A 24,064-nucleotide genomic window follows, 5' to 3' on the forward strand; every position below is an offset into this window, starting at 1 on the left:
TAGGTTGGTAACACACTATTGGGAAGACTGTGTCGAAACTAGCATTCTCATGCATTGCTGGTGAGAAAGAAAAATGGTAAAAGCCTATATAAGGGATTCTGGCAGTATCTAACAGAAGTACAAGTGCATTTACTCTTTGATCCCAAAATCACTCTTCTAGCGATTAAACCAGTAAATCGCAATTTACCCTGAAGATACACCTACAACAATAGGAAACTAAATATGAACAAGGTTATTTATTGCTTATAATTACAAATATTAGCAACTACCTAGTGGGCCAAACATTGGTGGAATACTAAACTTGTCTTAATAAAGAGTGAGAAAAATCTCTAAGAACTGATATGGAGTAATTTCTAACACTCATTATTAAATGAAAAGGCAAAATGCAAAAGAACATATATAGTATGTTACATTCAGTATAAGAAGGAAAAATAAGAAAACACATGCCCACTCTACAGAAAGAAATATTAAAAGGACAAACCAGAAAACAATGAAGCTGTTTATCTACAAGAGTAATGAGAGTATGATGGAATGGCAATGGAGTAGGAGGGATATATATTTCAGGGAAGGGAGTGACACTGCTCTGAATATATCTTTTTCTATAGTTTTAACTCTTTTGGAAGCACATTCATGCTCTACATATTTTAAAAATTAGAAGCAACAAAAGAGGAAGGAGAAAAAGAAAACCTAAAATTGAAAGCAAATGGAGACAAATCAACTGTACTTCAAACGAATATTATAACCACACTAGGAGTGGGGAAGGGAGCTAATCCAAGTACCTTATGAACACAGTATTGACTATATACTCCCAGTGTTGCTTGGAGATGACAAGAGGTTGGGAAGGCAAAGAATTCTGCAAACAAATCGTGACCTCATTTGGTTTGTTTTGATACTGGTTTCAGTGAAGCAATTCCATAACAATTTATTACAGGATTAGCAAATGAGAAAATGTGCTGATGATGCTGGAAGCCAAAACTTCCACAAAGGGACACACAAATACAGAACGGGCAATGGCAAGAAAGAACTGTGTAGGGGACTGGATACAAAGATAGCAGTGTGAACTCATGATTTCAAATATGTATGTGTGTGCAGATAGGCACGTGTATGTAAGTACGTATAGCCGTCCCTCAGTATCCACAGGGGACTGGCTCCAGGGACAGAACAATGTGTCCACACATAATTGAGTAGGAGCATCGTAGGGACTGTTATGGAGGGAGGTATAGAAAGCTATGGACCCCAGAGCAGGGAGGGACATACTCTGTTGGATGGGTAGAGGGGAGTCTCACAGAAGTTAGTTTTGAACATGGCCTAGAGAGAAAAGGAGGATGGGATAGGGCAGACAATCTGACCTGGGGGATGAGAAGTCTAGGTTCACATAAGGAATGCTGAGTATAGTTGGGCCTCAGTATCTGAGAGAGATTGGTTCCAGAATCCCTTTCCCTATACCAAAATCCAGTGATCCTTAAGTCCCTTATATAAAATAGCATTAGTATTTGCATATAAACTACACACAACCACCCATATACCTTAAATCATCTCTAGGTGACTTATAATATCTAATGCAATGTAAGTGCCAGCTAAATAGTTGTTATACTCTATTTTTTAAATTTGTATTATTTTTATTGTTGTATTATCATTTTTCATCTTTTTTCAAATATGTTTTATCTGCTGTTGGTTGAATCCAAGGATGTGGAACCTGTGGATATGGAGGGCCAAACCGTCTGTGACTATATGGTATGTATGTGTGTTCATACGCATATGTGTTAGTCTACTCAGGCTGCTATAACAAATGCCTTACACTGCATAATTTAATAATAGAAATGTGTTTCTCACAGTTTAGGAGGCTGGGAAGTCCAAGATCACGGTGCCAGCAGGTTCAATGTCTTGTGAGGGCTGCTTCCAAGATGGCATCCTTTAGCTGTGTCCTCACATGGCAGAAGAAGTACAAAGGCCAAACCAACTCCCTCAAGTTCTTTTAAAGGACACTAATTCCATTCATGAGAGGGGAACCCTCATGATCTAATCATCTCCTGAAGTCCCCACCTCTTAATAGTATGACATTGGGGATTAAGTTTCAATATATGAAGTTTGAGGATACATTCGGACCATCACAATGCATATACATGCTTATATTTCCTAACTGTTTCTTGGAAGGGCTAGAAGCTAAGGTGTCCCAGAAGAGAAGAGCACACTTCGTGCCCCATCTTGGTCTCTAATGCCATTTCCCAATAAAGAAAACCGGAGCTCCTCAGAGAAATGACTAATTTCATAGCTAGGGCAGAGTAGTAACAAACTGAGGAAAAAATATTTTGTTGTAACATAAAATGAGGTAGCATTCAAAAAAGAATAGAGTATGTCACAAAGACACTTGAAAGAAGCCAACCTGAAAAGGCTTACACTAGCCAAATCTGGAAAATATCAGCACCAAAATAATATAGTAATGAAGTCATTGATAAAAACAGGAATCTGTGGTAGACTGAATGATGCCCGCCCAAAGATGGCCATGTCCTGTGTGGGCGGCAAGCCATCCAGGTGCCGAGGCAAGAGACCGAGGCCACGAGCTGTTCCAGTATAATAAAATATATAAAACAACAAGAGTTATACTAGATCTAGACCATAGACATGATTACGTATGAATACCATTAATCATTAGTTTGTAGCAATTACTCTTTATTCCAATATTATAATAATCCTCGCTCTATAATCATAACCTAGGAAAAACCAGGCCATACAGAGATAGGAGCTGAGGGGACATAGTGAGAAGTGACCAGAAGACAAGAGTGTGAGCCTTCTGTTATACCCGGACAGGGCCACCAGAGGGCTCCTTGGTCTAGCGGTAACGCCAGTGTCTGGGAAGACGCCCGCTGCCAAGCGGACCGTGGTCTAGCAGTAGCCTCAGTGTCAAGGAAAAACACCCACTACTTAGCGGAACGGGAAAGGCAATCTCCCTTTCCCCGGGGGAGTTTAGAAAAGACTCTACTCCTCCACCTCTTGTGGAAGGCCTGACATGAGTCAGGCCCACCCGCAGTTATCCAGAGGCCTAACCATCTCCCTGTGGTGCTATGCTTCAGTGGTCACGCTCCTAGTCCACCTTCATGTTCCATCCTGTACACCTGGCTCTGCCTTTTAGATAACAGTAGCAAAATTAGTGAAAGTACTAAAAGTTTCTGATATGCAGAAATAATGGTGTAAGCTGTCTCTCTCTCTCCCTCTCTCTCTCTGCCTTGGCTGCCAGGCAGGGAAGGGCCCCCTGTCCAGTGGACACGTGACCCACGTGACCTTACCTATCATTGGAAATGACTCACACTCTTTACCCTGCCCCTTTTGCTTTGTATCCAATAAATAACAGCACAGCCAGACATTCGGGGCCATTACTGGTCTCCGCATCTTGGTGGTAGTGGTCCACTGGGCCCAGCTGTCTTTTATCTCTTTGTCTTATGTCTTTATTTCTACAATCTCTTGCCTCCACACACGGCAAGAAAAACCCACCGACCCTGTGGGGCTGGTCCCTATAGTCCTGATCTCCAGAACCTTCAAATTTGTTATTTACATAGCAAAAGGGAATTTGCAGATGAGGTTAAGGATCTTGAGAGGAGAGAGTTATCTTGGATTATTCAGGTGGGTCCAATATAATAATAAGGATCCTTAAAGGGTGACAGGATGGTCAGAGTCAGAGAAGATGTAACAATAAAAGCAGAGGTTAGAGAAAGATTTGAAGATGCTGCTCTGCTGGCTTTGAAGATGGAATAAGGGGCCACAAGCCTAAGAATCCAGGTGGCCTCAAGAAGTTGGAAAAGGCAAGGAAGGAGATCCTTCCCTTAGAGCCTCTGGAAGGAACACAGCCATACTGACACCTTCATTTTAGCCCCAAAACTCATTTTAAGCTTCTGACTCTCCAGAACTGTAAGATAATAAATTTGTGTTGTTTTAAACCAATAAGCTTGTGGTGATTTGTTACAGCAGCAACAGAAAGCTAATATAGAATATGAATCCACACCAATAAAAGATAGAGATGCTTATTCATATCAGTTAACTTTAAATATATATATACAGTCATGCATGGCACAATGACGCTTCGGTCAGCAACAGAGCACATGTACGATGACGGTCCCTTAAGATTATGATGGAGCTGAAAAATTCCTATTGCTTACTGACAATGTCTTGATGATCCTGATCTTGAGTAAGCCCAGACTAACTGTGTGTGTTTTTGTCTTCATTTTTAACAAAAAAGTTTAGAAAGGATAAAAAAAATTAATTAAAAATTTCAAAAATAGAAAAAAGCTTATCAAATAAGGACATAAAGAAAATATTTTTGTAGAACTGTACAACGTGTGTTTTAAAATGAGTGTCATTACAAAAGAGTCAAAAAGTTTTTAGAAATTTATAAAGTAAAAATGTTACAGTAAGATACAGAGAATTTAATACTGAAGAAAGAAAAATACATTTTTTTTCTACAGGCATGCATCACCATGCCCAGTTAATTGTTTTTTTAATTTTTTGTAGGCATAGAGTCTCGCTATGTTGCCCAGGTTGGTCTTTGAACTCCTGGTCTCAAGTGGTTCTCCTGCCTCAGTCTCCCAAAGTGCTAAGATTACAGGTGAAGATGTGAGCCTCTGTGCCAGACCAAAAAATATTTTTAAATAAAGTTAATGTAACTTAAGTGAACAGTGTTGATCATGTCTGCAGTAGTGTATAGTAATGTCCTAGGCCTTCAGATTCACTCACCACTCACTACTGACTCACTCAAAGCAACTCCAGTCCTGCAAGCTCCATTCATAGTAAATATCTTATAAAGGTGTAACATTTATCTTTATACGGTATTTTCACCACATCTTTTATTGGTATACTCACCATTTGTTACAATCACCTACAATATTCAGTGCAGTAACATGCTGTACAGGTTTGTAGCCTAGAAGCAATAGGCTATACCATATAGCCTAGGTGTGTAATGGGCTATACCATCTAGGTTGGTGTAAGTACATTCTATGGTGTTTGCACAACCAAAAAATCACCAAACAAGGCATTTTTCAGAATGTATCTCCATCTTTAAGCAAGGCATGACTGTATATACAAGCTGAGCATTCCTAATCCAAAAATCTAAAATCTGAAATGCTCTAAAATTTGAAACTTTTTTTTCTCTTTTTTAGAAATGGGGTTATAGCTACATTGCCCAAGCTGGCCTTGAACTCCTAGGCTCCAGTTATTCTCCCACCTCAGCCTCCCAAGTAGCTGCGACTATAGGATCTCGCCACCATGCCCAGCTTGAAACTTTTTGAGCACCAACATGACGCTCAGAGGCAATGCTCATTAGAGAATTTCAGATTTTCAGATTAGGGATGTTCAACCAATAAGGATAATGCAAATATTCCAAAAATTCAAATATTTCAAAATCTCCAAAACATCCAAAATCTGAAGCACTTCTGGTCCCAAGTGTTTCAGATAAGGGATAATCAACCTGTATATAGGCTTACCTTTACCAAGTTCTAAACCTTTTTTCATATTTATGTAAATTTTTAATTCACAAATAAGATAACTAAAGATGTACTTATCCTAAGTATACAATTCAGATAATTTTCACAATATGAACATACTCACGTAAGTAGCACCTAGATGAAGGAACATTATGAAGCCCCCTTTGACACAACCTACCAGTCACCACCCAAAGGTAACCACTATCATGACTTGGAATAGTTTTGTCTATTCTTAACTTTTTTGCAAGTGGAATCATGGTATTTCGTATTTGTTAACTTTAGCTCAACATTAAATTTTTAAGATTTATCCATGTCGTTAAGTGTAACTGTAGATCATTTGTTTTCTCTGTGGAAGAGCTTTCCATCATTTGACTATATCATAATGTACTCATCCATAGACTGTTGATGGGAATTTGGATGGTTTCCAGTTTGGAGCTATGAGCACTTTTAGCTCATTTCTATTGAATATATATTTAGAAGTAAAATTGCTGAGTCACAGTATATGCATATGTTCAGCTTTAGTAGCTACTGCCCAATAGTTTTTCAGAGTAGGTGTACCAATGTACACTCTCACTGAGCGTAGTGTTTCTGGGTTCCATTTGCTCTATGTCCCCACCAACACTAAGTATTAACTCAAATAACTGGTTTAAAGCTAGATTATTCATTATTTATTAGCCTCCAGCCTTTCCCTGAAAAATTTACAAAAGGATAGGTTTTTCGTTAAAATGTATTAAGGCTTAGCTTACTTTCTAAAGTTAAATAGAAATATATTTTCATCAAATTATGTATACTGCAGCCAGAATTTTCTAATAAAGAAGTCATCTTTATTTCCCCTTTGCTATTAATAATATTTTCCGAAACCACCATGAGTGGGGAACAAATTCGCTGTACAAAACAAATCGTGGCTTTCTCACTGTCCTATAGGCCAGATTGATGATTTCAACTCTGAGGAGCTAAATGGTCTAAAACTCTGGGAAAAATCTGAATTAAGAGCTCGTGCTCAGCAAGAATCAAATGCATTTAGCCACTTCCATACAATATAGTATTGATCAGCAGCCTTGAACATCATGTGTGCTAACATTTCAAACAACAGTATGTTCCTTGGGGTGTTGGATCTTCATCTTCATGTATTCCAGTCATGCTCAAAAAGAGGTAATTAGAAAATTTCTCATGAGTTATATCATTAAAAAATATTTTTATGAAGCCAGTAAGTTGCAATAATACCTCTTCTAATAGACGCTGTAGTTACAATAATTAGTATGCTTGCATTTCATATGATTAGAAAATTAATTTCTATTTGAATGCAAAATAGATATTTATAAATACTGGATCTTAACAAATTAACCATAGGTTATTGCTCATTAGGCAAAAGAATCAACAAGTAACGACCCAGCAAGTCATATCTTATTTGATGACTTGGAATTCATTGCTGTGACAATGACCATGACAAACAGGTTCCTAGTTATAGTGGGTACTGTTACTTGGATTAACATTCTTACTGAAAACAATGAAAAATGCCAGATAAAATATAAAGACCCTAAACCCTAAGCTCTGAAAACAGGGGGAGCTTTCAGACTAGTTTCTGATGAAAACCGGAGGCAGAGAGTTGAGACCATGAGAGCATGGAGCTGACTGCCCAGGAAGCACTTAGCAACAACACAAACAAAGGTTATCAGTGGGACCCCTGCACTCCCATCCTCCTAGCATACAGAGTTTTATGAGTCACCTTACACAGAAATGGGCACCTGAAGAGAGGAGATTATACTCTCTAAGTAAGGAAAAACTAGATTCATTCACCAACCCCTCCACACACATTCACACTCCTGACAACTGAGGAGGCTGCCCTGGGAAGTTATGATCTCAGACCTACATTATCAGGGATTTGCACACTGGGTACAAATGATGCTGATCTGAGGTACTGTCCCAATTGGCAGAGCCCTTAGGTGCCTGGCAGAAGGAAACATGCTATGGAGGAAGGAACATCCATAGTTGATTTCAGGGAATGCCCGCTAATGGATTTCAGGGACAATGACCAGCAAGGATAAACAATACTCAGGCCTCCAAGAAAACAGGAAGATTTGGGCAACAACAAGATATAACAGACACCACAGACAAAAGATGACTTTCATAGTCTTCTGATATTAGAATTACCACATATACTGTAGAACTACATTTAACAAACATGAATAAATAAGTCACGCACTAGAAAATATCTACAGGGAACAGGAAATCATAAAAAGCAATACAGATTTGAAAATAAAAAAGACAAGCAGAATTTCTAGCAATGACAGACTTCTACAAATGAAAAATAACCAAAATTAGAAACTCAACGTGCTATATGTGGCAGCAGAAGGGGCATAGTAGAAGACAGGGGAAAAAAAAGAAATAAAATCATTCAGAATATAACACTAAAAAAGAAAAAGCTGGAATACACAAAAAGACAGTAAGAATTAGAAAAAAATGAGAAAGTTTAATGTATATGTGATCTGATTTGCTGAAGGAGCTAGAACAAGAGAAAGAATAAGCAGAGATAATGGCAGAAAGTTTTCAAGACTGATGAAAAAGAACAATCCACAGATTCAAGCAGCACAGAGAATCCTCAACAGAATAAGTAAAAAAGAAATTTATATTTAGTTACATCATAGTGAATCTACAGAAAACCAAATCTACACCACCTCCCCCAAAAAACATTTTAGAAGGACCCAAGGGACAAAAACAGAGATTTCCTTCTGAGGAAAAACTTGAGATTAGTCACCAACCTGTCAATGGCAACAATTCAGAACATAAGAGAATGAAATAACATCTGGGCAGTGCTGAAAAATAATACCAAAAACAACTACCAAACTGAAATTTAATACTCAGCAAAATATCCCTCAAGGAAGAATGACTTTATCAGACAGATAGTTTGCCACCAGCACATGTAAGCTAAAGGAAACTATAAAGGATGTACTTCAGTCAGAAATAAGTGAAGACAGGAATGAAAACTAAAAAAAGAAGCATACAAAAGTAGTAAATACGTGAATAAATGTAAATGAACATTAACTATATTAAAGTAGTGATAGTAAAGTCTGGTGGATATTTAAAAGAGAGAAACAAAACAAGATAGACTTGAAAATCCCAGACAACAATAACATATACATCATGAGGGGACTAAGTGGAGTTAAGCAGGCTAAGGTCTGTATATTACTAAAAGAAAAGAAAGTTTCTTTTTAAGTTTAGCTTTTAATACATTAATAGGCATGATGTAAATTTTAAAGTAACCAGTAAAAGAATAGAAAGAAAATATATAAATACCAACCTTATATAGGGAAAAAACAAAATGAAAAATAAAATGTCAATAAAACAAGAAAGTGGAAGTAGGTAAGAAGAAAATAATGTATGACAATGTTTGAAAGAATATAGTAGAATGAAATCCAAACAGACCAACAATTACAGTGTGTAAATGAAGTACATGCTATAGTTAGAAGTAAAAAAACTGGCCAAATTAATTTTTTAATTTTTTAATTATGTATGTATGTATGTATTTATTTATTTATTTATTTTGAAATAGAGTCTTGCTCTGTCACCCAGGCTGGAGTACAGTGGCTTGAACCTCCACCTCCCAGATTCAAGCGATTCTCCTGTCTCAGCCTCCAGAGTAGCTGGGATTACAGGCAAGTGCCACCACATCCAGCTAACTTTTGCATTTTTAGTAGAGATGGGATTTCACTATGTTGGCCAGGCTGGTCTTGAACTCCCAACCTCATGTGATCTGTCTGCCTCGGCCTCCCAAAGTGCTGGGATTACAGGCATGAGTCATCCCGCCTGGCCCAGACAAATTAATTTTAAAACACTATATGATGTTTCTATTACATAGATCTAAAACATAAAAGTAGATGTCTGAAGGAAAAGAATGAAAAAACATATAGCAGGCAAATATTAATCAAAACAAAGTTTGCATGATTATGTTAGAATGGGACAAAGGAGGGTAAGGCAAAAAACATTACTAGATATAAAGAGGGCGACTTCACAATGATACAAGGCTGATTTCATAAGATGACATAATTTGAAATTTGCATACACCTAATAACATGGCCTCAAAATACATAAAACAAAAATTGTCAGAACTACAAGAAGAGATAAATTCATAATAGTAATAGGAGATTTATACACATCTCTTTCAGTAATTTATAGAAAAAGCAGGCCAAAATTAGTAAGTTTTTTTTGTTTGTTTTTTTTTGGTTTTGTTTTTTTTTTTTGAGATGGAGTTTCGCTTTGTCACCAGCCTGGAGTGCAGCAGCACAACCTCAGCTCACTGCAACCTCCGCCTCCCAGGTTCAAGCGACTCTCCTGCCCCAGCCTCCCGAGTAGCTGGGACTACAGGCACACACCACCATGCCCAGCTAATTTTTGTATTTTCAGTAGAGACGGGGTTTCACCATGTTGGCCAGGATGGTCTTGAACTCCTGACCTCAAGTGATCTGCCCGCCTCAGCCTCCCAAAGTGCTGGGATTACAGGCGTGATCCACCATGCCGGGCCAACGACAAGATGTGAACAAGATAACTAATAAATTACTTGATGAACATATATTGAACACTGCACGGAACAGCTGCAAAATATGTATTTTTTTTTCAAACATACAGAATATCTACAAAAAATGACCTCATAATGGGCTATAAACCAAGACTTGATGAATTTCAACATATTAAAATCATCCAGACTACATTCTCTAACTTCAAAGCAGTTAAACTAGAAATCAATATACAAAGATAAATGTATCCATGACATTTAAGTACATATATATTAATAACCCATGAGTCAATAAAGAAAAATATAAAATATTTTAACCAGAAGATTAAAACTATATATACCAAAACTTGTGGGATGATGCTAACGCAGTATTTAAACCTAATCTGAAATGTATAAATTAGAAAAGAAGAAATATGAAAAATTAACAAGCTAAATATTTACCCCAAAAAGTTAGAAAAGGAATACAAAATAGACCCAAAGAAAAAGAAAGGAAATAAAAATAATTACAACAATCAAAGAACAAAGAAACAGAAGCTATTAGCAAAATGAAACAATGGCATTCTAAGCCATGTTTTATAAATTCAAATTTCCAAATCTGTCTTAAAAAAAAACCCAAAGTAGAACTGAGCTAATTCCAACATGTCAGAAGCCACAGAATATAGTATTTAAGTGAAGGATTTAATGCGCATGCACACACACACACACACACACACACACACACACACACACACAAGTTAACTGTGTTTGAAGGGTGGGGGCAGAGGGTAGAGAAATATGTGAGGAAACAAACTGAAGAATTCAGTTCTACAATGGTATCTACGTGACCATGAAGGTGTCAAAATCAACTTTTTCTTTACTTCATAATATCTAAGTACAGTTTTTATTTCTAAATTCATTACTTTTATTCATTATTACAGGCAATTCACAACTCATGATTGACTGCTATCTAAAATTTTGCCTTTAGGGTTAGTTGTTGGAAATTTGAAAAACATTTTCACATCAAACTCTCTGCTGGGTTATGCTGTGGATGCCCACATAATTTGTTATCTAAAAGCAGTCACTATTGCTTGGGTCAAATGCTAAATGGGACAGAACACTGGAAACAGGCATGAGCTGGGGTACAAGAAACACCTCCTCCCTATACCAAATCGCCAGTGCTTCAGTGAGAGGGGCAGGGGTGGGAGATGGGAAAGTTAAGGAGGGAAGGATGGAACCATGTGTCTGCTCCACAGCAGCTTCTAGGGAAAGCCACTGCCTGGCAAAACCTGATACTGCTCCTTGCACCATAAGCTAATTGTCTTCCTAACTGGCTCCTCTTCTGGGGACCTTTCTGCAGAAAGAAAGGGACGGAGGATTTCCTTCTCCTAAAGTCAACAAGCAGCTCACCTAAGGATCCTTCTAAGACACAGTTTCCCAAATGGGAGCAATTTTGCCACCCAGAGGACATATGTCAATGTGTAGAGACAATTTTGGTTGTCATAACTGAAGGGAGACGGAGTGGGGCTACCAGCATCTACTGAGTAGAGGTCAGGGTTTCTGCTAAACATCCCAGAATGCACGGGACAGCCCCATAACAAAGAATTGTCCATCCCAAAATGCCTTTAGTGCCAAGGTTGAGAAACCTTGCACTGAAGGTTTGTACTACCAGTTGCAACAAATAATCAGGCAAGAAGAAAGTAGGCTGAGGGATAGGTGTGGACCAGGAAGGAAAGAGAATAATAAAGAAAAACGCCAAGAAAGTCAACAAAGGGAAGGGATTTCCTATGTTCATCCTGCCAGGGTAGGGGGGTTCTGAATGGTTATTTCATGTGAGGAACACATATGAGCCAAGCACTGTAAACGAGGCCTCTTTATATAAGGAATTACCAAGTAAATTTAAAAGGAGCTTTTTTCAAAAGCTGCCAGAACTGACCGTGGAGCGATAGTCTTTCAATAAAATAGGATACTGTATTATTGCTTCAAAAGCTGACAATGTGATCTTGATAAATTCTTCTGATGCTGTCAGTCCTAGAAATACAGTTAATTATTATAGGTGTTTATTTACATGTTCTAAATCATAATATCAAAGTACCTCAAACAAAGACACAAAATGTTCCAGGGTCTACTCACCTATGGCTCCATCTATGTTCGTTTCTCCTGAGTCTACAGATTTAATATGACTCTGAAAAAAAATAAATTTTTAATAAATAGAGTTTCAAAGTAACTCTGAAATAAAATATAGGTAGTTTACATTTTGCCCAAAACTGTACCTATTGTTTTTAATAACTCATAGACAGTATTAAATACTCTATACATATTATATTATTATAGTTACAAAAGTATATTAAATAATATACATAAAGTCTAAACAATAATCTCTTTTTTTTTTTGAGACAGCGTTTTGTTCTTGTTGCCCAGGCTGGAGTGCAGTGGCCCGATCTCGGCTCACCAAAACCTCTGCCTTCCAGGTTCAAGTGATTCTCCCACCTCAGCCTCCTGAGTATCTGGGATTACAGGCATGTGCCACCACGCCTGGCTAATTTTGTATTTTTAGTAGAGATGGGGTTTCTCATGTTGGTCACGCTGGTCTCAAACTCCCGACCTCAGGTGGTCCACCTGCCTCGGCCTCCCAAAGAATCATTTTTAAATATACAAATCACTATCAATGAGATTTAATGTTGGAATAAAGTCAATGTTAACATAAGCATTTACGAAAGTGAGAATAATATAACTGATACATAACCATGTCCAATAATACACCACAATTACTTGCTCGCCATATCAGAAGAGAGTTCGAATGGCACCTAACCAGGGAAAACAGTCATCTCAAAGGAAGGTCAATCAAGCTTTAGCTACCCTGAGTACAAACTGTGTCAAGATAGTAGTTTCGCTCTCAAGGCCTGTCTTCAAATTTCGCCACTGTTTTGAGTTCCTCCTAGATACCTCTTATTCCAACCCCCTTATCTGCGCTCCCATGCACCATGCTAGTGCCTCCTTTGCCGGATGACTCCCATTGCTGTTTGAGAGGAAGGCCTTAGTAGCTCGGCTGTGAGCTCTGAGGCCTCAGCTCCCCAGATGAATGAGCTTCCTGGTCTCTGGCCAAATGCTCTGGACAGAAAAGGTACTCCATGACAATGAAACAATCACTGCCATGCTAGGCAGAGCACCCATGTTACTGACAGCAAGAACGCTGCAACGGAGTTCTTGCCACTAATAAACAAAATAATATATATATATTTATATATATATTTAATATATATATTTATATATATTAAATATATATAATTAAATATATATTAAACAAAATAACATATATTATTTTATATATGGTAACAAATAGCAAATAAAACATAAGATGACCTCGGAACTAAAAAGTAACTAAGTATAAGCGATTAGCCCACAGTAGAAATTGGTCTAACATAGGCCAAGCGCAGTGGCTCACACCTGTAATCCCAGCACTTTGGGAGGCCAAGGCGGGCAGATTACTTGAGGTCAGGAGTTCGAGACCAGCCTGGCCAACACGGTGAAACCCCGTCTCAATTAAAAATACAAAAATTAGCCAGGCATGGTGGCACACGCCTGTAATCCCAGCTACTCAGGAGGCTGAGGCAGGAGAATTGCTTGAGCCCAGGAAGCGGAGGTTGTAGTGAGCCAAGATCATGCCACTGCAGTCCAGCCTGGCCGACAGAGCGAGACTCTGTCTCAAAAAAAAAAAAAAAAAAAATATGTGTGTGTGTGTGTGTGTGTGTGTGTGTGTGTGTGTGTGTATATATATATAGAGAGAGAGAGAGAATAGAATCTATGTAACATATACAAAAGAACATAGGTATGTATTTTGTGTTACAAAGAAAACCCTTAAACCCACTACTCAAGTTAAGAACTAAGACATTTCCAATTGGTTGTATAAACTCCCCCATCCCATCTGCCTACCTCACTTCCAGAGATAACCACTATCATGTATTTATCATTTTCTTGGTTTTCTTAAAATAGTTTTAACACATATACATGTGTCCCTAAATAGTATATTGTTTGTGTATTTTTGAATCTTACTGAAATTATACCAAGCTATACATAGTTCATACAAACAGAAGAGTAACCATTAAAATGCTAGAAAACATAAGACCTGAAATTGCAAAACAACTAGAGAAAAACAAAGGGGTAAACCTCCATGACATTGGTCTGGGCAATAATTTTTTTAGATCGGACCCAAACACACAAGCAACAAAAGCAAAAGTAGACAAATGGGATTACATCAACATAAAAAGCTTCTGCACCCTGAAGGAAACAACAGAGTGAAGAGACAACTTACGGAATGGGAAAAAAATATTTGTAAACCACATATCTATGAGGGGGTGAATATGCAAAATATATAAAGAACTCAACTCAATAGTAAGAAGGCAAATAACCCAATGTTTTCAAATGGTCAGGCCAGGTGAAGTGGCTCACACCTACAATCCCAGCACTGTGAGAGGCCAAATCAGGAGGATAATCTGAGGCCAGGAGTTTGAGACCAGCTTGGGCAACATAGCAAGACTGTCTCCGCAGAAAAATAAAAAATTAGCCAAGCATGGTGGCATGCACCTGTAGCCTTAGCTACTCAGAGGCTGAGGTGGAGGATCACTCGGGCCCAGGAGATCAAGGCTGCAGTGGGCTATGACGGTATCCCTGCACTCCAGCCTGGGTGACAGGGCAAGACCTTGTCTCCAAAAAAAGAAAAAAAAAAAAGTCAAAGGATTGAATAGACATTACTCGAAAGAAGATATACAAATGGTCAATAGGTATATGAAAAAATGCTCAACATCACTAACCAGGGAAAGGAAAATTAAAACTATAATGAGATATCACTTCACATCCATAAGAATGGCTATTATCAAAAAGATAAAAGATAACAAGGACCAGTGAGGATGTATAGAAAAGGGAACTCTTGCACACTGTCGGTGGGAATGTAAACTAGTACAGCCATTATGAAAAATACTATGAAAATTCTTCAAAAAAATTAAAAATATAAGTACCATATGATTAAGCAATCCAACTACTGAAATAAATACATATACATATATATATATATTTCCAAAGGAAATTAAATCAGTATGTTGAAGAAATATCTGCACTCCCATGTTCACTGCAGCTTTCTTCACAATAGTCAAGATATAGAATCAACTCAACTGTCCATCAACAGATGAACGGATTTTTTAAATGTGGCAAATATACACGATGGAATTGTTTTAAAAAGGAAATCCTGTCATTTGTGGCAACATGGATAAACCTAGAGAACATTATGTAAGTGAAAGGAGCCAGGCACAGAAAGACAAATATCATGTGGTCTCACTTACAGGTGGGAACTAAAAAAGTTGAACTCAGAAGTAGAGAAGAGATGGCAGTTACCAGGGACTGGGGGTAGGGGAAAGACATTGGTCAAAGGACACAAAATTTTGATTATATAGAGGGAATAAGGTATCAAGAGATCTAAAGTAAAGATCTGGGATTACACGCCTATAATCCCAGCTACTTGGGAGGCTGAGGAATGAGAATTGCTGGAACCCACGAAACAGAGGTTGCAGTAGGTGAGTATAGTTAATAAAGATGTAGTCCTGAAAATTGGTAATAGATTTCAAGTTTTCTCACCACAAAAACAAATATGTGAAGTAACAGATATGTTTATTAGCTCAATTTAGCCATTCCACAATGTACACATATTTCAAAACAATCTGTTGTACACAATAAATGTATACAATTCTTATTCATCAATTTAAAATTAAATTTTAAAATGTTTTTAAAAAGAATGTTTTAAAGTTATAGGAAAATACTTAAATGCAACCTATGTTTTTTAAAGGTAGAATACAAATCTATGGATACAGAAGGTCTCAACCATATTTATTTGTGTATGTCACATACATGTTATAGATACATAAACAATTGTTTCTACAATACAAATGCATCTATATGAATGGAAAACGTAAGAAAACAACAATATGTTAACAATGGTTGTCTCCTAGTGTAGAGTTACAGATAATTTTATTTTCTTCAAATTTCACTACACTTTTCCACATTTTCTTTAATAAGCATGAATTATAATTTAAATAAATAAGCATAAATTACCTTTAAAATAAGAAAAAAAAACTTAAAGACATTTATTGTCTAGGTTATAAAGAAAATCAGAAAGCCTATAAAATGCAAGCCCTTTAAAAAGTGAAAACAGAGGACATCTTCAATTCTTTTTTGGTCTACAAATAAACAAAATGGACTTTAAAATGGAGTTTGTTTGGTTTTGTTTTGTTTTTTGAGACAGAGTCTCGCTCTGTCACCAGGCTGGAGTGCACTGGCATGATCTCGGTTCACTGCAACCTCCGCCTCCCGGGTTCAAGAGATTTGCTTGCCTCAGCCTTCCAAGTAGCTGGGACTACAGGCGCGCGCCACCACGCCCAGTTAATTTTTGTACTTTTAGTAGAGATGGGGTTTCACCATGTTGGCCAGGATGGTCTCAATCTCCTGACCTCATAATCTGCCTGCCTCGGACTCCCAAAGTGCTGGAATTACAGGCGTGAGCCACCATGCCTGGCCGAGTTAATTTTTAAAAGCAGCAATGTATGCTTTTCATGATAATTTTATTAAAATTATTTCACATAATTCCAAAATGGACACATAACTTTTATCGAATAAAATATAAATTTGATGTTGAATAAGAAACTCAGAGAGAGAGATCTTTTGACTTAAACACATGTACGTAAATGTCTACGGATTACTAAGTAAAGAAGACACAGAGTAGTGTACGTAACAACAATCCCTTCTGTGTAATTCTCTTAAAAATATACACATAATACACAAATGCTGGTGATGTGAACAATAATTTTTGTGGAAGAGATCACAGGAAAGGACAAGCACTGCTTCCTTTGGGAACCTGAGGAGGTATGCTTCACTGCCTTTTCTGCCTTTCTCTTCCCTTGCGACTTTTTAACCACTCACATGTACTGTCTTTTTCACATATATATATATAAATAAAGCTTGTCTAAATGCTGAAATTATTATTAATTATTTATTATGAAGAATTATGGGCTTATTTTATTTCCTACCTTATACTTCCCCTATTTAATTTTTTAAAAATTCCCACAAATTTTTCATTCATTTACCAATTTCAATATTTTTTGATATATTTCTTCCTTCTCATTCTCAGTGTAATAGGGAGTAATGAGGTGAGAGTGAGGACGGGGTAGTAGGCATTGGAGATTCAAGGAGAAAGGAACATATAGTCATTGGCTGATGTGAATTTTAAGAGAGACCTGTCATTTGCACTGTTTCCCCCTCCCCTGCCCCCAGCCATATTTAGCCACTCAAAGCAGGGCTAGGGTAGGTGGAGACTTAAATTTAACTAGCATTAAGATTTGTCAGAGAACCGGACGTGGTGGCTCATGCCTATAATCCCAGCACTTTGGGAGGCTGAGGCAGGCGGATCACTTGAGGTCAGGAGTTTGAGACCAGCATGGCCAACATGGTGAAACCCCATCTCTACAAAAACTACAAAAATTAGCCATGAGTGGTGGCACACGCCTGTAATCCCAGCTACTTGGGAGGCTGAGGAATGAGAATTGCTGGAACCCACGAAACAGAGGTTGCAGTGAGCCGAGATCGCTCCGCTGCACAAGCCTGGGAGACACAGGGAGACTCTTGTCTCAAAAAAAAAAAAAAAAAGATTGTGACTAATGCTGGACCAGGCATTCTAGGTGGAGTAAAGAGAAAGTGAAAAAGCAGAGCCCTGGCAGGGCAGGATGGTGAGCAGAAAGCAGGTAGGAACAATTAAGTCTCACAGGAGCTGAAGGGTTGTGGGAGTTGGGGAGGAGAGGAAATGAGCTGAAAATCAGGGGTGGTGGGCCGACAAGCGGATGCTGACAGTAAGGTCAAGTGTTTGACCATGGGAGCAGGCAGCTGATGGGAAGACAGACAAGCTCTTGGGGAGAGAAGCAGCCAGGGAGCTGCAAGGCTGAGGCACTGGAAGGATCCTTCAGAGGGATATCAAATTCCCCACCAATGATGCAAGAGAGGCAAGGAGAGGCTCTTGGTGAGCCAAGTGCTAAAGGAATGCTGAGGAACAAAGGCCAATGACCCAGAAATCTGCAGATGACCACAACACAGGGGGTGACACAATATCTTCTCATGGTGCAAACTTCAAAGATGGGAGTTTCAGCAGGGGAGCAAAAAAGACCACCCACCCTGAGCTAGGTCTGCTGGCTAGGGGGTGTGAAGCAGTGTGTGCCAGCGCTCTCAATATCATTCAGTGATCCCCAACAGGGGCTGAAAAAAAGCTCCTACAGCAAACTGGGATACAAATTCATGATATGTTAAAGGAAAAAAGACAAGAATATCTAGGTGGCAACAAATAAGTAAATATATACTATCATGTTTTCAAAAATACAAGAGTGCACTAGCTCTGGCTTTTCTGCAGCTGAAGCCAATATCTATCAATAAACCAGCATTCCTGTACATAAAAATCTACAGAGGGCAGGAAGTATAACCTTTCATAGTTATTTTTTGTAGAAAACTATAACCACCACAAGCCATCATACTTTCATAAACTAATGAGGCCAGAACTTAAACACAACAAAGTCTGCTTCCTCTGATCATTAATCAAATGCATTTTCAAAAGGACATAGGAAATATAGTGAATGTTAGGTTAATACACATCATGAGCTCTTGAAAATATTTCCTTAATTTACTACTTCCTGTTTCCCAGCCCAATTCAATGGAGGACCAAAAGAAGCATGGTATTCACCACAGAACTTCCCCAGAGACTAGACTGCTGAAACCTGGAGAGGGAGCTGAGTAAGACAACAGGCTGCTTCTGCCAATAAGAAGTGAAAATAGCAATTATCAGCTGGGTAGTCCTCTTTTTCCAGGAGTGTTTCAAAGCTTGATAATGGTTTAAAATTACTCTGCTGAATTGTTTCCAAATGCTAGTCTCTTTAAAATATAAGGTGACCAAAACTTCATTTTCCTTGGGGGAAAAAAATTTACAAAAAATTAATTCTTGTATTTATGCCTCCATATATAAGAAGTATCCTGAATTTTTGTACCAAAAAAACAAAAAATGTCTGTAGGTCAAATAGGCAAACCATGCCCTAGTGCCATTATAAAAATGAAGTCAATGGGAAGCACAGTTCCAATCCCCGCTTCTCCAGTCTGCTCCTTAAGAACCCTTCTAATGCACAGAGATCACACTAACCCTGGCTGCTATCTCCACACCCACCCCAAGGCAGGCCAGCAGCTCATGAAGAGCTGCCTCAGGGGAAGCCAAGAAGTTCTTGGCTTGCTGCTACTGGATACAGCTTCTAAAAGTGGACTAAGCTTGAATATCCCAATTAAATCATATCTTTAAAATATGAAAGGACAATATGCCTGCCATAAGACAATAGCTACTGCATGAGATACATTTTGAGAAATACTGAAAATAATATTTATCTCCAGATGTACCAGTAAGTCTTTCAAAACACAATGCTGGGAGAGGTGGCTCATGCCTATAATCCCAGCACTTTGGGAGGCCAAGGTGGGTGGATTACTTGAGTCCAGGAGTTCAAGACCAGCTCAGGAAAGATGGTGAAACCTCATCTCTTCGAAAAATTTTTAAAAATTAGCCAGGCATGGTGGCACACACCTATAGTTCCAGCTACATCTGAGGCTGAGGAGGTAGGATTGCTTGCGCCTGGGAGGCGGAGGTTGCAGTGAGCCTGATTGTGCCACTGCACTCCAGCCTGGGTGACAGAGCAAGACCCTGTCTCGAAAAAAGAAAAAAAGCAAAAAAACAAGCAAAAAAAAAAATCCACAATGCTAAGTATGTAAATATGAATGGACTACTTCCCTATGTCACCAGAACCAAATAAGCACTATGCTCCGGACAATTTCACATAATTGTTCTGTGGATTGGGCTACAGAACGTTCATAACTATGCATCCCCACCACTACCACCAAAAAAAAGAAAAAAAAAAGCCCTCTCAAATAGTTTAGGAAGCCTTTGCCTAAAAAAAAATTAAAAATTATTTTAAAGCAGAAAACTCAAAGGGCTTTAATATGCTAATTTGCAATGTACATTTCTAAGGGTCTGTAGAATGTTGGATGAGTAGACTAGACCTCATAGCAGCAGTAAGGCACTGTAACTTGAGTAACATTTTTGCTATCTTCTGGAAAAATTATGAATTCATAGAAGCAACATTCAACTCTCAACAATTCACAATAATGTGCACAAGAACTGTATGGATAACTAAATCCAGGTCCTGAATTTTAGTCAATAATTCTCTCCCTTTGCTAGTATTTCATCAGTGCCATTAACACTGAGTATACAAAAGGTGAACACACAGTTAAGGCCAACAAACAAACACAATAAGAAAAATAATTCAAGAATTCTGGGACTGGGCATGATTCAAACTACGAAAATAGACTGAAGAGAGGCAAAAGACTTTCATTTTATTTCCCTAAACTTCCTCTAATTGGGTGATACCATCAAGAAAAAAACTGCTAAAATTTTTTCAGTATCTTAATGATCTCTACACCAGCCAAGTTATTTTCCATTTCCTAAAGGTGCCTATATTGAAAAGACCCAACAGAATACCCATAGAAAAGTCTTTATGGACACACTCAGTGTGGCCTCCTCCCTTGTCTCTGAACACAGAATTACAAGGAGCAGACGAGTTCTCCCCAATATACATAGAATTTCTGAAAGTCCAAAAAGACTTTTCTGTTGGAAAATCTTGGTAATTCTTTAAAAACCTAAAGCATACTCAGTTAATGTAGGCAGAAGAAAATACTACACATGAAAAAAAAAGACAGGGAGAAAGAACACAAGACAATTATACCTATCCCAAACAAACACTGTGCCAAAATAATCCAAGGTGGGTTACCATAAAAAAATTACTAATTTCAGGCATCAATATGCCAACGCAATGGAATTGTAAATAGAAAAATCATAGTCATGTTAAAATGATGCCTATGCTGTACTTAAAAACAGGTAAAAAGATGGTGGTAAATAAAAATTCTCATAATTTGCAAATTCATAAATGTGGTACCAAAATTATAGACTTTCTGGAATTCAAGATTCAAAGTACTCAAATGATAAAAATCTGAAATTGAGCACAAAGGGACCTTTACTGCATTGCTTCCTAAAAATCAGCAACAGTCACTCAACATTTATACTTATAAACATCATACTTCACCCTATGATGAACTTTCTAGAAAACCATATCCTCACTTGTTGTGGCAATCTTTTTTTAAAAAAATTCCAAACTAACAATAAAATTGAGATGCTGACCTCATTTTAACTAGTTACCTCTATGGCATTTTGAAAATCTCTGTTCAGTTTATTATTAATATCAAAGTAAGACTGGAGAAGCTCTGTGACAAATGTTTTAGCTTTCCCTCTGTATTTCCCTCCTCATTTTATCAACCATATATACTGTAACTACTACTAGCAAGGGAAAAAGATAACATAATTCATGAGCTAAACAAAAAGAATTTTTGTGAGCAAAAACAGAAGTGAAAGATAATGCAATAACTTTTCATTTCTACTTGTATCCTCAAAATTAAAGAAAAAGCTAAACTGAGCTTAACATAGAGAAATGCCATCATAAGAAGAGACACTGTGGGGGCTGGGTCAGGAGAATCGCTTGAACCCAGGAGGCGGAGGTTGCAGTGAGCCAAGATCGCACCACTGCACTCCAGCCTGGGCAACAGAGCGAGACTCTGTCTTTAAAAAAAAAAAAGAAACTGCACATGATTGGACAATATAAGCCGAAGTAAATAATAATGATACTATATTCCCAGCATTCCATTTTCACCAGTTTTATTATATTTTTTCATGATGTTTAATACCAAAATCTATGAAAGTGTTTCTGTGGACATATTTACCCTATTTGGGCTGTCTCTGAACAAAATACATTATCAGGAGAGAATGTGTTTTCTCCAAATGTCAAATTTTATTACAGTCAACAGATAAAAATATTAAAAGGTCACTTCCCTAGAGACAAATAAATACCAACAGGATTTTTAAATTACCTCATTCTGACATCAAATTCTACAAACAGTAGAGGAAGTCACAATTTTATTAGAAACAAGGAAAATTTCGTGTTACTCACAAGAATAGTTCCATAGCTGAAAAGAAACTCTTCTGTCACAACTTGAGGTCGAAATACCTGTGTGATGAGAGTTTCTACAGATTAAATTCTGGAAGCTATGTACAACGTTAGCTCAATAAAAAAAAAATGTTTTGAGTTGAGGATTCTCAGCTCCAGTTTACAAAGAGAAGAGGCAAATTTATATCCTTTTCCTCCTCAATACAATAGTACCTGTGAAGTTACGAGGTGAAGCACTACAGGCATCAGGGGGAGACACAACTTCAGCTGTTTCACTTGAACTGTTGATGGGTGTTTACGTCCAGAAACATTAGCCAAGGAGTTAAGAATGTCACCTGTGAAGCACAGCCCAGAGCATATGTGGAGGTTAAAAACCACAAATACTTAGGAGCCACTGGTCATTGCTTGAATACCCATGGGACTTCTAAGGTAATTAATCTCCAAATAAAATAAGCAGATATACTTATTCACAAGTACTGAAATTACAACAGACACTTATGGCCTCCGGGGACAGAATGTGATATTCTGCAAAGACACTATAAATAAACTTAACGTCTCATTTGGAAATGAAAAATAAAATTTAATAAATTATTATAATAGAGTAATAGCTTTAGAATTTTTTTTTTGTATTTTCCAAATTTCAATCATGAGCACTTGTTGCTTTTGCAAACAAGAAAAAATATTTAAAATAATAAATGGGCCAGGCGCAGTGGCTCATGCCTGTAATCCTAGCACTTTGGGAGGCCGAGGTGGGCAGATCACGAGGTCAGGAGATCGAGACCATCCTGGCCAAAATAGTGAAACCCCATCTCTAATAAAAACACAAAAATTAGCCTGGGCATGATGGTGTGCGCCTGTAGTCCCAGCTACTTGGGAGGCTGAGGCAGGAGAATCACTTGAATCTGGGAGGTGAAGGTTGCAGTGAGCTGAGATAGTGCCACTGCACTCCAGCCTGGGCGACAGAGCAAGACTCTGTCTCACAAAATAATAATAATAATAATAATAATAATAATAATAATAATAAGTGAACGAATTACAGAACACGACTTACAACTATCAAAAAAAAGAGAATAGGTTGGAGGTAAAAAGAGGTCAATTCCCAAAACTTCTCATTGGATGATAAATCTAACAATAAATAAAACTTGCTTTGTGGACATCAGAATCTTATCGCCATACCCTAAAACAGGATAAGTCCGGTAATAAAGAATTTAGCTACCAACTGACCAAATTATAGCCTTCAGGTTTGAGGTAAAAAAGCTTACAATCCGAAATAAATTTTGAGAGGCTCTATTTTCAGTCATCAACAGGCAAAAATAATCTCCTAAAGCATCAGTAAGGGGCAAAAAAGTTGCTGTCAGTTAGCCTTGAAGACATTTTCATTACTTTGATTTAATGTTCTGAATTCCTGAAACTAAGTACCCTCTACTATAATAGCTTGGATCAAATTTAACATTCTAAACATTTCTGGTTTATAGCTACATCTGCTGGAAAAGCATGGAATGGGATTTAAGCTACACATACATGCTCCCAAGGTTATTTTAATTTCTGCAAATAACAATGAAATAAGGTATTTCTTTAGCTGTAATAAACATCCTTTGCAAATCATTATTAGATGTTTTATCTTAAGATAAATTTTTCAAACCAAAGAAAGTTTCAAACTTTGAACTTTAAATGAATATCAAAATTCCTTAATATCACATTTTAATATTCAAAATTAAAATCCATGCATTTTTATTCTCATTTATTGTGGGAGTTAAAAAATGATTATATGGCAGTAGAAAATGGAAAGACAGATAACAAAGGCTGAGAAGGGTGAATGGATGTGGAGGGATGAGGAAAAAAAGTGGGTCAAAGGGTATGAACATACAGTAAAATAGAAGAAATAAATTCAGTGTTTGATAGCAGAGCAGGGTGATTATAGTTAACAAAAATGTATTATAGGTGGGTGACGGACACCCTAAATACCCTGGCTTGATCACTATGCATTTTATACA

At 37.6% G+C, this 24,064-nt stretch overlaps 1 protein-coding gene across 6 annotated transcripts in view, besides 2 other annotated features; it reads right to left on the reverse strand.

Annotated features, from left to right (window-relative positions):
- ULK4 (unc-51 like kinase 4) overlaps nt 1-24,064 on the reverse strand; it is a 715,505-nt gene that overhangs the window by 446,565 nt on the left and 244,876 nt on the right. For 5 of the 6 annotated variants that reach the window (NM_001322501.2, NM_017886.4, XM_047448417.1 and 2 more), the window contains 4 exons: nt 22,284-22,405; nt 22,074-22,130; nt 12,091-12,142; nt 11,894-11,988 (listed from right to left, as the gene is read on the reverse strand). In NM_001322501.2, the coding sequence (NP_001309430.1) occupies nt 11,894-11,988; nt 12,091-12,142; nt 22,074-22,130; nt 22,284-22,405 (326 nt within the window). The remainder of the gene's footprint in view (nt 1-11,893; nt 11,989-12,090; nt 12,143-22,073; nt 22,131-22,283; nt 22,406-24,064) is intronic. The other variant, NR_136342.2, reaches the window with a different exon arrangement.
- Nucleotides 2,736-2,919: a silencer, noted in NCBI's record as "fragment chr3:41737391-41737574 (GRCh37/hg19 assembly coordinates)". NCBI's record gives its function as "represses an EF-1alpha promoter that drives an FKBP-Casp9 reporter gene in an ReSE screen in HepG2 liver carcinoma cells {active_cell/tissue: HepG2}" and the evidence as "EXISTENCE:reporter gene assay evidence [ECO:0000049][PMID:32094911]".
- Nucleotides 17,854-18,463: an enhancer, noted in NCBI's record as "H3K27ac hESC enhancer chr3:41752509-41753118 (GRCh37/hg19 assembly coordinates)". NCBI's record gives its function as "activates a minimal SCP1, AML or CMV promoter by ChIP-STARR-seq in primed H9 embryonic stem cells {active_cell/tissue: H9 hESC(primed)}" and the evidence as "EXISTENCE:reporter gene assay evidence [ECO:0000049][PMID:30033119]".

The sequence above is a fragment of the Homo sapiens genome, chromosome 3 (assembly GCF_000001405.40).
Source record: "Homo sapiens chromosome 3, GRCh38.p14 Primary Assembly".
Classification (NCBI taxonomy): domain Eukaryota; kingdom Metazoa; phylum Chordata; class Mammalia; order Primates; family Hominidae; genus Homo; species Homo sapiens.